General features: G+C 39.3%; 1 annotated feature.

Moving 5' to 3' along the window:
* Window positions 10,999–11,199: a silencer, noted in NCBI's record as "peak2433 fragment used in MPRA reporter construct". NCBI's record gives its function as "represses an SCP1 promoter by STARR-seq MPRAs in K562 erythroleukemia cells {active_cell/tissue: K562}" and the evidence as "EXISTENCE:reporter gene assay evidence [ECO:0000049][PMID:32103011]".

A 14,122-nucleotide genomic window follows, 5' to 3' on the forward strand; every position in this document is an offset into this window, starting at 1 on the left:
AGCACGTGATGAGAGAGGGAGCAAGAGAGAGAGAAAGAAGTGCCACATTCTTTTAAACAACAAGATCTCACGTGAACTCAGACCAAGAACTCATTTGTTACTGCAAGGACACCAAGCCATTCATGAGGGATCTCTGTCTATGACCCAACGCTTCCTACCAGGCCCCACCTCCAACATTGGGGATTACATTTCAACATGAGATTTGGAGGCGACAAACATCCAAACTATATCAACTATACAAAGTGTTCTCCTTTCAGAAAAAAAAATGGTCCTTAAAATTATACTGAGGCTTTTCTAATAATGATGGTCTGACCTTATCCTATATTTGTAATCATTTATTATTCATTTCTAGTATCAAGATGTCATGGCCAATTAGAGAGCTGAATTAGAAACACACCTGTTTTAAATAAGTGGTAAATATCAGTCAACTAATATAAGAATTGATGCTAAGGAGGATGTCCATTAAAAATGGTGAATTTGGGGGCGTTTCAAGTGCTGTTCAGTTTTGTAAATATCCATCTCTAATCCTTTGTAATCTTTATGGGGCAAACTATCAAAAGAATTATATGAAAATTCAAGGGCTTTGACTATGACTGACTATTTCAAAGATCTTATCTACTTTCAGCATAATTTACCTACACACATAATACTTTAATGTTGGGATCCCCCAAAACTGGTGAAATAGATGCTTGAATAGACAGGTTGGTGTAGCAGGTAAGTAGATTTGCAGAGGGAAGCCGACATTGACAGAATACCCACCCACTACGTTCTTGTCTTTCTATCAGATATTTGATATGTCTCATCATAAGATGTTCTCAGAAATCCTACTCTCTGCCTCTCTTCATTGGTCTATCTGTCTGACAATTTTTCTAACAGTCTGTTAATCTACCTGCATTTATGCCCATTTTGCATGAGCTAAAGCTCAGAGAGGTTGAACCTTACTGTGAATCACCAGTGAGTAAAAGAACCAAAATTTAAAGGCTTTTTTTCATACTGTAAAGATAAGCTCTTTCTACCTGCAGCATATTGTCTCTTCCTCTTAACTATAATATTATCTTTTTCTAAGGATAAAAAACCGTCACGTTTTAGGAATAAAAATGGAAAATATCATCAGTATAGGGGAAAACTGAATTCAGAGCGATATGTGGGAATAGCCTTGAGCAAACCTAAAATGTATTCCAAGCCTATCTCTTGTGCCTTCTGTCTTTTTCTCAGGCTCTTCTCCTACGTCCTTCTCTGGTCTTCAGTGTCTTTTTTATTCCATCTCTTCTTGTCTCCTATAACTCTTTCCTCTGCATTTAATCCAGTATTTATGTTACCCCTGTGTCAGTTTATGCTTTAGCTTCAATTGTGAAATAAAAAGTTGTTTCTGGGGCCAGGAACATCTGTAATGCCAAAAAGTAAGGAAGCACCTCCTCCCCAAAATTCCATAATGTTACGGGGAAATCAAAGGGACACAGAAGCCAACTGAAGGAGCCCCTAGTGATCAAAATGAGCAATTCTGATCCGGTGCAATGGCTCATGCCTGTAATCCCAGCACTTTGGGAGGCTGAAGCGGGTGGATCACCTGAGATGAGGAGTTTAAGGCCAGCCTGGCCAACATGGTGAAATCCCACCTCTACTAAAAATACAAAATTTTAGACAGGCATGGTGGCAGTTGCCTGTAATCCCAGCTACTCTGGAGTCTGGGGCAGGAGAATCGCTTAAACCTGAGAAGAGAAGGTTGTGGTGAGCCGAGATCGCACCATTGCACTCCAGCCTGGGCAACAAGAGTGAAACGCTGTTTCAACGACAACAACAACCACCAAAAGAGCAATTTGAGCACAATAAGCAAAGTACTACTGCATTCTAACCCAAAGTATAAAATAAATACCTGAGTCCATATCGATATAAGTAATTTAATAAAACAATAAATAGGGGCTGGGAAGAGAAAATTCCCCCATAAAGAGGAATTCCAAATAATTTCTGTAGGAGCTCCATTCTCAAGAAAGTGGAGCATAATTCCCCATTTCTCAAATATAGGCTATATATAGTACAGCCTTTCAAAGAGTACAATGCAAATATGTGGGAAGTGATAGAGAGTAAGTTTACAAAGGAAAAACTTCACAAACCTTACCTCAGTCCGGTGATTAAGGTCAACATCAGCAACAGTAAGTCACATTCATAATATGTACCCTTAGGCTGAGTGCAGTGGCTCACGCCTGTAATCCCAGCACTTTGGGAGGCCAAGTGGCCTGGATCACCTGAGGTCAGGAGTTCAAGATCAGCCTGGCCAAGATGGTGAAACCCCATCTCTACTAAAAATGCAAAAAAGAATTGGCCAAGTGTGGTGGCAGGCGACTAATCCCAGCTACTCGGGAGGCTGAGGCAGGAGAATCACTTGAACCCAAGAGGCAGAGGTTGTAGTGATAGGAGATCATGCCACTGCACTCTAGACTGGGTGACAGAGTGACCCAGTATATTATAATAAATAATAATAATAATATGTACCCTTGATACAATGTGATGAAGATGACTTTTACCTTTGTGGTCTTCCTCCCAAAAATGCATGGCTCCTGTTTAATCATTTCTGTTTTGTTTGTTTGTTTTTTTAACTTTTATGTTAAGTTCAGGGATACATGTGCAGGTTTGTTATATAGGTACACTTGTGTTATGGGAGTTTGTTATACAGATTATTTTGTCACCCAGATATTAAGCCTAGTACCCATTAGTTGTTCTTCCTCTTTCTGTTCCTGCTCCTACCCTCCAGCTTCTGATATGCCCCAGTGTGTGTTGTTCCCCCATGATGTGTCCATGTTTTCTCATCATTTAGCTCCCACTTGTAAGTTAGAACATGCAGTATTTGGCTTTCTGTTCCTGCATTAGTTTGCTAAGGATAATGGCCTCCAGCTCTACCCATGTTCCTGCAAATGGCATGATCTTATTCTTTTTTATGGCTGCATAGTATTTCATGGTATATAGGTACCACATTCTCTTTATCCAATCTACTATTGGTGAGCATTTAGGTTAATTCCATGTGTTTGCTATTGTGAATAGTGCTGCAATGAACATATATGTACATGTGTCTTTATAATAAAATAATTTATATTCTTTTGGGTATCAGTAATGACATTGCTGGGTCGAATGTTATTTCCATTTCTAGGTCTTTGAGGGATCCCCACAGTGTTTTCCACAATGGTGGAACTAATTTACACTCCCCCTAGCAGTGTTTAAGCGTTCCTTTTTCTCTGCAACCTCGCCAGCATCTATTATTTTTTGACTTTTTATTAATAGCCATTCTGATTGGTGTGAGCTGGTATCTCATTGTTGTTTTCATTTGCATTTCTCTAATGATCAGTGATACTGAGCTTTCTTTCATGTGATTTTTGGCCACATGTATGTCTTCTTTTGAAAAGTGTCTGTTCGTGTCCTTTGCCCATGGGGTTGCTTTTTTCTTGTAAATTTGTTTAAGTTCCTTCTAGATACTGGATATTACACCTTTGTCAGATGCATAGTTTGCAAACTTTCATCATTTTTTTTTAAATCAGAACAATTTCACTTAAGGGGCATCCTACAAAATATCTGTCCAGTAATTCTCGAATTGTCAAACTCATCAAAAACAAGGAAAGTCTCACAAATTGTCATAACAAAAAGGACCCCACAGGAGACATGACAACTAAATGTAACTTGGCATGCTGGATGGGATCCTGGGACAGAAGAAGGATATTAGGTAAAACTAAGAAAATAATAATAATGTGTCAGTCTTGGTTCATTGAATGTTACATAAAATGTTAATAATAGAGAAAACTAGGTACAAGTGTGTGAGAACTCTATGTACTCTTCAAAGTTTTTTTCTGTTATTGTTCTAAAAATAAAGTTTAATACGTTTTAAAAAGAAAAGTAACAAAGAAAAACAAAGTAGCTCCTGGGTAAAGGAATTATTTAGGGCACTGTGAGAGTGAGAGTAGCAGTATTTTGGAAGGAGTTTGTGGAGACAGAGAGAGTGGCATGGTAGGGAGTTGTACTACTGCCTGCTGGATTTGACAAGTCACTCTGTAATTTAAATGAGGGGCTACCCAACCTAAGATTAGCCTGGGTTTTATATACACTTTATTTCTCTAAAAGAAGATTTCAGTGAATTTGCAGGAAGGAAAAATAGATAGCTATAGTCCTTTTGACTATATTTGACACAGAACCAAAACCTGGGAGGCGAAGGTTGCGGTGAGATAGTGTTTTAAAGAAAAGGACCAATGTCTCCACATTTAAAATGATGGAGCCAAAGTATAGATGAGCTTATCATTTGGGATCTATTTATGGTGAGCCTGGCTTTCCTCAGAGCTAACTTCTCCACCTTAGATAGCCTCCTAGGATTGGCTAGACCCCACAAAGCTGAAGACCTTCGGTGGATTTATATTCTAAGATCTCTAGTAACAGACGAGGATTGTAGAAGGAGTCCCCCTAAAGATTGCTAGTGGTTTACATTGATTTCCCTGAAGAAAAAGAGGGAGGAGGAATGGAAATGAGGAGGAAAAGAAGAGAGGAGGAGAGGAAAGGAAGGAAGAGGGAGAAGGGGGTGAAGGAGAAGGAAGGGAAGGAGGAGAGAGGAGAGAAGAGAAAGATAAATCACAGAACCAAAACCATTTTTATGAAACTCACATGAAAGCTGCATTTTGCACATCTTAATATTTTAGTCCCAGTAGTCATTTTTAAGGCCACTCTCCGGTGCTGTTGTCAGGCATAGAAATGACCAGAGGACCATGATAAAAGAGGAGCGTAGAAAAAAAGAAACAAAAGGCAGACTTGACTTGCTTTAGGAGTTTTTTGTACATTTCCTTGGCAGTAGTGTGCTGTGGAGAGCCAGGCAGAGGGGCTGTGGCTCACTGGTAGAAAGCAACATGTCACAGAAAATCAAGCACAGAGCAGCCCAGGCCCATGACTCCCACCATGCTTGGAAACAGAAGAACGTCCTCTGTTTGCTACCTGCCTATGTACATAAAGAAAAGAGAGCAGGGTGACAAGATCATGGCAAATCTTTCTATCTCTCTCCCTCTCTTCCTCTCTCTCTCTCTCCCCCCACCCTCTCTCATCAGCCTTCATTCTAATTAACCTGCTCCCTTCTCATTTCCCTCCCGTTCATTTCTGTCATCTCCATTTCACAGTATCACTTGCCCAGTGAAAAGAGGCTCGACACATTCTATTTAGAAAGTGAGTGTCTCACTAGGGGTGACAAGTCTTTTTTGAGGTCATTTATCTAATTGCTCTTTGCAGATAAGAATTAATTAGCCCGATTATTTTTCTTAGTTTTTGGATGGGTTCCCCACCTGAAGAGAAGAAATTCCTTGGTGTCAGTGATTAATTGCTCAGCCAGAAGCTTACTGCCTCGCATTTGTAATAAATGCCGACTAGCTCTTCAGGTCACATTAAGAGCCAGGCAGGTTGTGGTATAATGTACAGGATAATAAAGCACTTGTATAAATAGGGGCAGCAGCATTTGATGTTGATTAAATATTTTAATACTTCAAATGGTGAAGGAGTTTCAAGATGCTGAAGGTAAAGAGTCCCCATTTGGGGCAACTTTTCTTTCTCCTTCATGAGGGACAGAACATCTCCAGGATCCAAGACAGCAGGTGGCATTTCAGTTTAGGGTTTGTCTAAAATGACCTCAATGATCTGTGGGGTTGTTATTATTGTTGTTCTTTGTTTTTGGCTATCTCTTTATTTTTCTGTCACAGAACACCTAAAATTACAAGCACATTCAGATTCTAAATCACTTTTATTTCCAGAAGAGAAAGAAATGAACTTCTTCTTAGTTGACTTTCAAATTAGATTTTTAAAAATATTGTTGTTGTGATGGTAGTGTCTATGTGAAGTCCCCAGACCTCAAAATAAACCCATTTAATTCAAAGGTGAGCAAACCAAGATGTGATAAAAATCTGAAAATGTGGTGGCGGGCACCTGTAGTCCCAGCTACTCCAGAGGCTGAGGCAGGAGAATGGCGTGAACCTGGGAGGTGGAGCTTGCAGTGAGCCCAGATAGCGCCACTGCACTCCAGCCTGGGTGACAGAGCAAGACTCCGCTTCAGAAAAAAAATAAATAAAAACCTGAAAATGTGAAATAAACCTGTAAAGAAGAAACTCAAACACATTAGTGAATTTAGAGAGCAAGTCTTATATTCTGTGGAGAGTTCAGTTGAAGAGTCAGGGTTTTAAAATAATCTGGCTAAGAGTACTGCTTCATATTCCATGTTTCTAGTAGAATTCTACAGATACAGATATTGTGATTATCTTAAGGATAGAGAATAAAGGAAAACAAGCCCCAAAGTAATTAAGGGCTTTATCAAAGGAGAGATTCTGTGAGCAAGTTGGGCAGAGCCTGATCTCAAACTAGGCACGGTAGCTCATACTTGTCATCTCAACAATTTGGGAGCCCAAGGCAGGAGGATTGCTTGAGCTCAAGAGTTGGAGACCAGCCTGAGCAACATAGTGAGACACTTTCTCTACAAAAAAAATAATGATAAATTAGCCAGGCATGGGGGCACAAGCCTGTAGTTCCGGCTACTTAGGAGGCTGAAGGTTGAGGCTGCAACAAGGCATAATCGTGCTACTGCACTCCAATCTGAGTGACAGAGTGACACCCCGTCTCAAAATAAATAAATAGAGAAGTGTGCTTCTGATTTCCAGGACAATTTGCTATGTTTTTGTTAACAACACATATATATATAACTAAATGAAAAACTCATAAAGAAATTGGACAGAATTTGGCTGGGTTGGGTGGTCCACACCTGTAATCCCAGCACTTTGGGAGGCCAAGGCAGGCAGATCACCTGAGTCTGGCCAACATGGCAAAACCTGTCTCTACTAAAAATACACAAATTATCTGGGCGTGGTGGCGGGTGGCTGTAATCCCAGCTACTCGGGAGGCTGAGGCAGGAGAATCGCTTCAACCCAGGAGGTGGAGGTTGCAGTGAGCCAAGATTGCACCACTGCACTCCAGCCTGGATGACAGAGTGAGACTCTGTCTAAAAAAAAAAAAAAAAAAAAAAAAAGGACAGAATTTAATTTTGATTTGGTGATGAACAAGATATTATCAATCTGGCAGTGCCCTGTAGTGTTCATTAAGATAGAAATCTTGAATAAAAACAATTTTTGAATAAAAAGATTGTCCAAGTAAAGAAATACTTTCTCTAAAAGGAAGATCTCTATATACTGGATGATTTGATTCGTAAAAGAAGTGTTTTTTTCTGAAGATGATAAATAACATACTATATCATTTTCTCTTGCTAAGTGATATTATTGAAAAGAATCAAATCTAACAAGTTTTCTTCCCCTTTAGGGAGACTGAACAATGTAATTAAGAAGGTTGTATGATTACCTATCTAATAATTTTTGTATTCTGTATTCTATCTCTCTCAGTTTGAAATTCACTAAAAAACAAGGACTTGTACATAGTGGATCCTTAATAAGTATCTTATTTGTAAGTAAACAAATGAATTATTGAATAGTTAAAGCTATTAAAAGTGACTGATTGGACAATGGTAACTTCCTTAGTATTTTAACTTCTTTTACCCATCTCCTATCTCTAGGCCCTCTTCTCCTAAATTACATAGAAAAGAAACTCTTGTTTCAGAAGGCCTCCAGTTTACCAATTTGTTTGAACATTTTATTGGGTGCAATAATATTACTACTTGATGTCTGTCCTGTATGATTCAGATAACACAATAAGAAGATTCCTTCTGTGTCAAATGAGGATGTTCTATGAATCCTTTAATATGCTGAGGTCACTCACCTACCAATTTTAGATTATTTAGATCCATTTAGGGATATTTGCAATGCCATTTATTAGATTTGCTTATCTTCAAGTGCCCATTTTTATGCTGCTTTGTAAATCTCCCCATAATCTCTGAGCTCCTGAATAATTGTAAATAAGTAAGTTTTCTTCTTCAGCCACCTGTCAAGATTTCTTGGGCTCTTCCACAGAGTGAATGTTCATGTTTTCTTTCACTCTGCTTTTACAAAAATGATGAAATTAGCTAGCAAGCTGTTGAGCATAGATATTTCCTGCTGTATTCTCTTCCTCTTGGGTTGTTGTAAGGGAATTGTGGGCAAAGGTGACATCGTTTACAGTTCACATCAACATGTTTCAATTTGCTTTATCCTTTGGGAGAACTAATTGTTCTGTGGCAATTCAAACTGGACATTTGTTCCATCTTTTTTTTTCCTTTTTGGTTTAAATTGATAATTTATTCACAGGCAGTATTCATAATGCCTGAATTCAAAATACAGGCAAATCTGTTATGGGTCTATAAAAACCAAAAGAATATGATTCAAAGAAATTAAGTGGTCAAAACTATGGAGCAGCTAATTTATTAAGCTAAAATTTTATGCAGAGTTTAAAGAAAAGCCATATTAGCAAAGGACTATGTTTCTTTCTCTTGTGACTCTCTTCCCAATTCATTGCCTTTCCCCATTAAATTTCAAATAAGTTCCTAGGGAGGAAAAAAAAAAGAAAATCAGATTGAGCCAACCAGTGTGAAGCTTCAAATAGAGACAATAATAGTGCCTACTTCAAAGGATTGGGATGACGATTAACTAAATTGTGCTAATAAAGTCCTTAGAAAAGGGTCTCACAGGCCAGGTGAGTTGGCACACACCTGTAATCCCAGCACTTTGGGAGGCCGAGGCGGGCGGATCACGAGGTCAGGAGATCGAGACCATCCTGGCTAACACGGTGAAACCCCGTCTCTACTAAAAATACAAAAAATTAGCCGGGCGTGGTGGTGGGCGCCTGTAGTCCCAGCTACTCGGGAGGCTGAGGCAGGAGAATGGCGTGAACCCGGGAGGCGGAGCTTGCAGTGAGCCGAGATCGCGCCACTGCACTCCAGCCTGGGCGACAGAGCGAGACTCTGTCTCAAAAAAAAAAAAAAAAAAAAAAAAAAGAAATACAAAAACTAGCCAGGTGTGGTGGGTGTGCCTGTAGTCCCAGCAATTTAGAAGGCTGAGAGGTGGGAGGTTTGCTTGAGCCCAGGAGGTTGAGGTTGCAGTGATCTAGGATGACACTGCTGCACTCCAGCCTGGGGGACAGAGCCACATCAAGAAAGGGAGGGAGGGAGGGAAGGAAGGAAGGAAGGAAGGAAAAAGGGAAGGAAGAAAAGGAAGGAAGAAAGCAAGGAAAGGAAGGAAGAAAGAAAGGAAAGGAAGGAAGAAAGGAAGGAAAGAAAGAAGAGAGAGAGAGAAAGAGAAAGAAAGAGAGAGAAAAGAACGAGAAAGAGAGAGAGAAAGAAAGGAAGGAAGGAGGGAAGAAAGAGTCTGGCATTCATAACCACTATTTAGGCCTGTGTTAGAGAAAAGTCAAGGAATCCTACAAACCACTCCTGCATTCACTCGCTGAAACTACATGTCATACGTGGAAACTAGATTTAATCTGTAAAGTAGATCATTTTGAACTTATATTTTACAATGGAAATGAATTATGTGCACTGTAACCAACTATCATATTTACATGGCTTATCAAGAAGTATAAGCCATATAAAAAGGGGTTTTACTATCCTATCAAAAACATTCTCAGACATCAACTATGTCCTGAAGATGCAATAATACATTCTGGGGAGTCATAGTTTTGGTAACTAGAAGCTTCATCCAGAAATATGGCAAAACACAATCTATGCCCTACTCCGTGCTGTGGTCTGAACATTTGCTACCTTCCCCGACCCCAATTCATATGATGAAACTTAATCCTCAATGTGATCCCGTTGAGAGGTGAAGCATTAATGAGTTGATTAGATCTTGAAGTTTCCACTCTCATGAGTGAGCTTAGTGCACTTATAAAAGAGGTTGAAGGCAGTTGCCTTGCCCTTCATCCATGTGAGGACTTGCAAGCAGCACACTCCATGAGGAACGGAGACCTCACCAGAAACTGACTTTGATGGTGTCTCCATCTTGGACTTCCCAGCCTGCAGAACTCTCAGCAATAAATTTCTGTTGTTTATAAATTACCCAGCCTAATTTATATGTTGTTATCATAGCCTGAAAGTTCTAAAACACTTTCCTTTCACAGGAATATAAGTCCTAAAAGTTCCAATGAACAGAAAATTTGTGAATACTTTTTCCTGATATTATATGTTTTTTAAAATCCAACTTAGAGGCCAGATGCGGTGGCTCACACCTGTAATCCAGCATTTTGGGAGGCTGAGGCAGGTGGATCACCTGAGGTCAGGAGTTCAAGACCAGCCTGGCCAACATGGTGAAAGCCCATCTCTACAAAAATACAAAAACTAGCCAGGCATGATGGTGGGTGCCTGTATTCCCAGCTACTCAGGAGGCTTAGGTAGGAGAGTCGCTTGAACCTGGGAGGCAGAGGTTGCAGTGAGCTGAGATTGTGCCATTGCATTCCAGCCTGGGCCACAGAGCAAGACTCTGCCTCAAAAATAAATAAATAAATAAATAAATAAATAAATAAATAAATAAAATCCAACTCAGAAAAAACACTAGTTCATTAGAACTAACCTGTGTTCTGACCTCTCCTGAGTGTTGCAAGTGGGCCTGTATTCTGGCCAGGGATCTTTCTCCTTCGTTGGAAGTGAGTGGCCCAGAGATAAGGTTTCTTCAGGAGGCTGAGAGTTACATTTCTCACCCTGAAATCTAACCCAGCAGAACGTGCAGGCAGAGCCCAGAGCTTGCCCAGAGAAGAAAGTTCCTGGGCTTATATAACACAGAGATCACTTACCTTTAGAGTTGAGCAATGCCTGGACAGGGAAAATTCTTGAATGTTTTCAAAAGACCTGTTCAAGGAACATAACCTAATAGCAAACCCTGAGTAAGAGAGAGAAATATCTTCAAAGATTTTCAACGCTTCTCATAGAAATGAGCTTTCTGAAGCTTTCCTTAGCTCTCTGACTGCCGTAGACATTTTTGCCTTGCCTGCTTTGAAGCATCCTGATCCAGGGTTATTGAACCTTTTCTCCTGTTGTGAAATTGCTTCCTGGAGTCTACCTGACATAATATCCTCTCTATCCCTACTCTGCAGCCCTGTTGATACAAAGTAGACCCCTTTGGTACAGAGCAAGAAGAAATAGTACTAGAAGCCAGCAAGAGAGTTTAGGAGGAGTAAATGGACACCAAACAAAAGATGTTGAATACAGCAAATGTTTAAAACCAAGAATCTTGCATCTGTGATTGCAGAGGGTGCCCTGTCATCCCGCCTCTCACAGCGTGTGAGTGAATGCGTTCTGTCACCCAGGATCATGCTGCGGTTGTCTCACTAGTAGCAGTCTCATTTTAATAAACTCCTGCCCAGTGACCTGTGGCCAGCTAAGTGTTGTCACTGTCTCCTGCTCTTCATATTCCTGCCTCAGTGCTGTCTCTAGATCCTGTTCTCTAGTCCCAAGTCTTTCCAACGATGCTTCTTGGTAAATTTCCATACCTTTTCCACCTCAAATGTCCTGACCTGATGAAGCCTCCAAGCGAGGTGAATGTGAGCATTCAAAATTCTCCAGAATCCCTGATGTGGTGGGAGCTTGGGCTCAACCATCCAGTCAGTGAGAATCTCTTCCAGCTAAGCAAATATTTCAGCATCATTATTTTCCAGATAGAAAAAAATTCAGCTGGGCAGCACACTGTTACTAGTAACACATTCTTTTAGTGGACAGAGCTAGGAAATATTATACATGTAATATATATTTGTACATATAATATACAACATAAAATAATATATAAATATATATAACATATAATGTAATATATAAATATATAATGTATAATACATATTTACAATGCACATATAATAAAACATATGCATAGGCTGGGCATAGTGTCTCACACCTGTAATTCCAATACTTTGAGAGCCTAAGGCAGGAGGATTGCTTGAGGCCAAGAGTTTGAAACCAGGCTGGGCAACATGGCAAGATCTTGCCTCTACAAAAGTAAAAAAAAATTATCTGGGCATGGTGGTGCAGGCCTGTGATCCCAGTTACTAGGGAGGCTGAGGCAGGAGGATTGTTTGAACCTAGGAGGTCAAGGCTACAGTGAGCCATGATCATGCCACTGCACTCCAGCCTAAGTGACAATGAGACCCTGTCTCAAAAAAAAGTATATAATTACATAAAATACTTACGCATTTAATTACATGCAATACATATACATATATACACACAATTGTATAATTTCTATATTATATATAATAATGTATTTTGTGAAATACATATGCATGTTATATATAATACATATGCATAATATACACATATAATCATATGCACATATATGTACAATGTCTATTTATATATCACTATTTCTTCATCTGTATATACATTTATTAGAAAAATATTAGTTCATACTGACATTCCCAATTTCAATTCAACGGAACAGAGTTCTGCTTTTCTTTCTCTTTCCCATGATTGGAAATAACCTCTCTTGACAATAAGAGGCTTGCCTTCCTTATTTTTTGATACAATTCCTGTTTTTGCTTAATCATTACGCTTTCTTGTTTAACGTAACCAGACTCAACTCTGCAGGTGTTCTCCTCCCCCAGCCAGCATGGCCGCCTACCCTGCCTTTCCTGGCCTCAGCGTGGCTGTGTTCCTCTTCAGCATTCCATGTCTCCCGTCTGCTATGCTGGTTCCTCTGTTCAGGGGAAGGGAGGGAAGGGGAGGAGAAACTAATGGTCAGGGAATAGAAAATGTGAAGGGAAGATGTGAAGGAAAAGAAAGTTGCAGTGAGAAAAAGAGAAAGGAAAGTGATACTTCTTTTGTAAAACACAAAAATGGGCTAGGTGTGGTGGCTCACACCTGTGATCCCAGCACTTTGGGAGGCCGAGGCGGGTGGATCACGAGGTCAGGAGATCGAGACCATGCTGGCTAACACGGTGAAACCCTGTCTCTCCTAAAAATACAAAAAATTAACTGGGCTTGGTGGCAGGCACCTGTAGTCCCAGCTACTCAGGAGGCTGAGGCAGGAGAATGGTGTGAACCCAGGAGGCGGAGCTTGCAGTGAGCTGAGATTGTGCCACTGCACTCCAGCCTGGGCAACAGAGCAAGACTCCATCTCAAAAAAAAAAAAAGAATTATTAAAAAGAAATGGAATTTTAAAATCTTAGCTGCAATCATTGATTATTAGATTCAATAGACATCAAATTACTCTCTCAAATTCCTATGAGGGTTTACAAATGTTTTCTCTACATCTCAGTATTTATCCCACTGCAGAAGCATAACCCAAACAGTTCAGGGACTAGCTCAGCAAAAGCTAGAAACTTCAAAATGATTTGTATATTTTGAATTCCAAAGGAAATTTTTATCTTGGTTACATTAGTTTCTGCAGGTAGGTACATTAAATTAACTCCGTTTTTGAGTGGGTGGGTTTATAAAAGCAAACCGCTCTTAAGTAACTATCGCAAAGAAAGGCTGGAAAATATTAGTTATACAGTCAAATGATGAATCTGATTATTTTATTTTTTTACAGACTTGTCAACTAAATCTTTAAAAAGTTGTTTGCAAATCTGATAGAAAATCTAATGTCTTCAAAAATTTGCATTCTTCTGCTAACAAGAGGATAATTTATTTTAATAGTTGACTTCAAACTTCTTACTTTTGTGTTTTTTCCTTTTCTTTCCAAGCTTGCTCAGGTTCTTTGACACTTTTTTAAAAAATAGAAATATTTAAAATTGATTTGTAGGAATTTTTTCTATAGCATGCACATGAACTCTGCATCTGAAGTATACCTTGCAAATATTTTCCTAGTTTATGGCTTGTCTTAAAATAGAAGTTAAACATTTTTATTTAGCTCAATCTCTCAGTTTTCCCTTTCTTTATTTCTGACCTTCCTATCATGCTTTAACAAGTCGTGCCTACAACTACATTATAAAAATATTCTCCAAGGCTTTTGTCAGTACCTCCCCACCCCATTTAAACATCTAATCTACTAGGTGTATTTTTGTGTCTGATGTTCCTTCAGAGGTTGTGGGTGATTCTTAATTTGATTTCCAAATGCCAAATCAATTATTGAATAATCCATCTTTCCTTCTCTACTTAAAAATGTAATCTTTATGAAATACACAGTCCTACTAACATGGATGGATCTCTGAAATTTCTATCATTTTCTAATGATTGATATGTTTATCTTCATATCTATAACATGCTGTTTTAATTACTATAACT

Source organism: Homo sapiens, chromosome 15 (genome assembly GCF_000001405.40).
Source record: "Homo sapiens chromosome 15, GRCh38.p14 Primary Assembly".
Taxonomy (NCBI): Eukaryota; Metazoa; Chordata; class Mammalia; order Primates; family Hominidae; genus Homo; species Homo sapiens.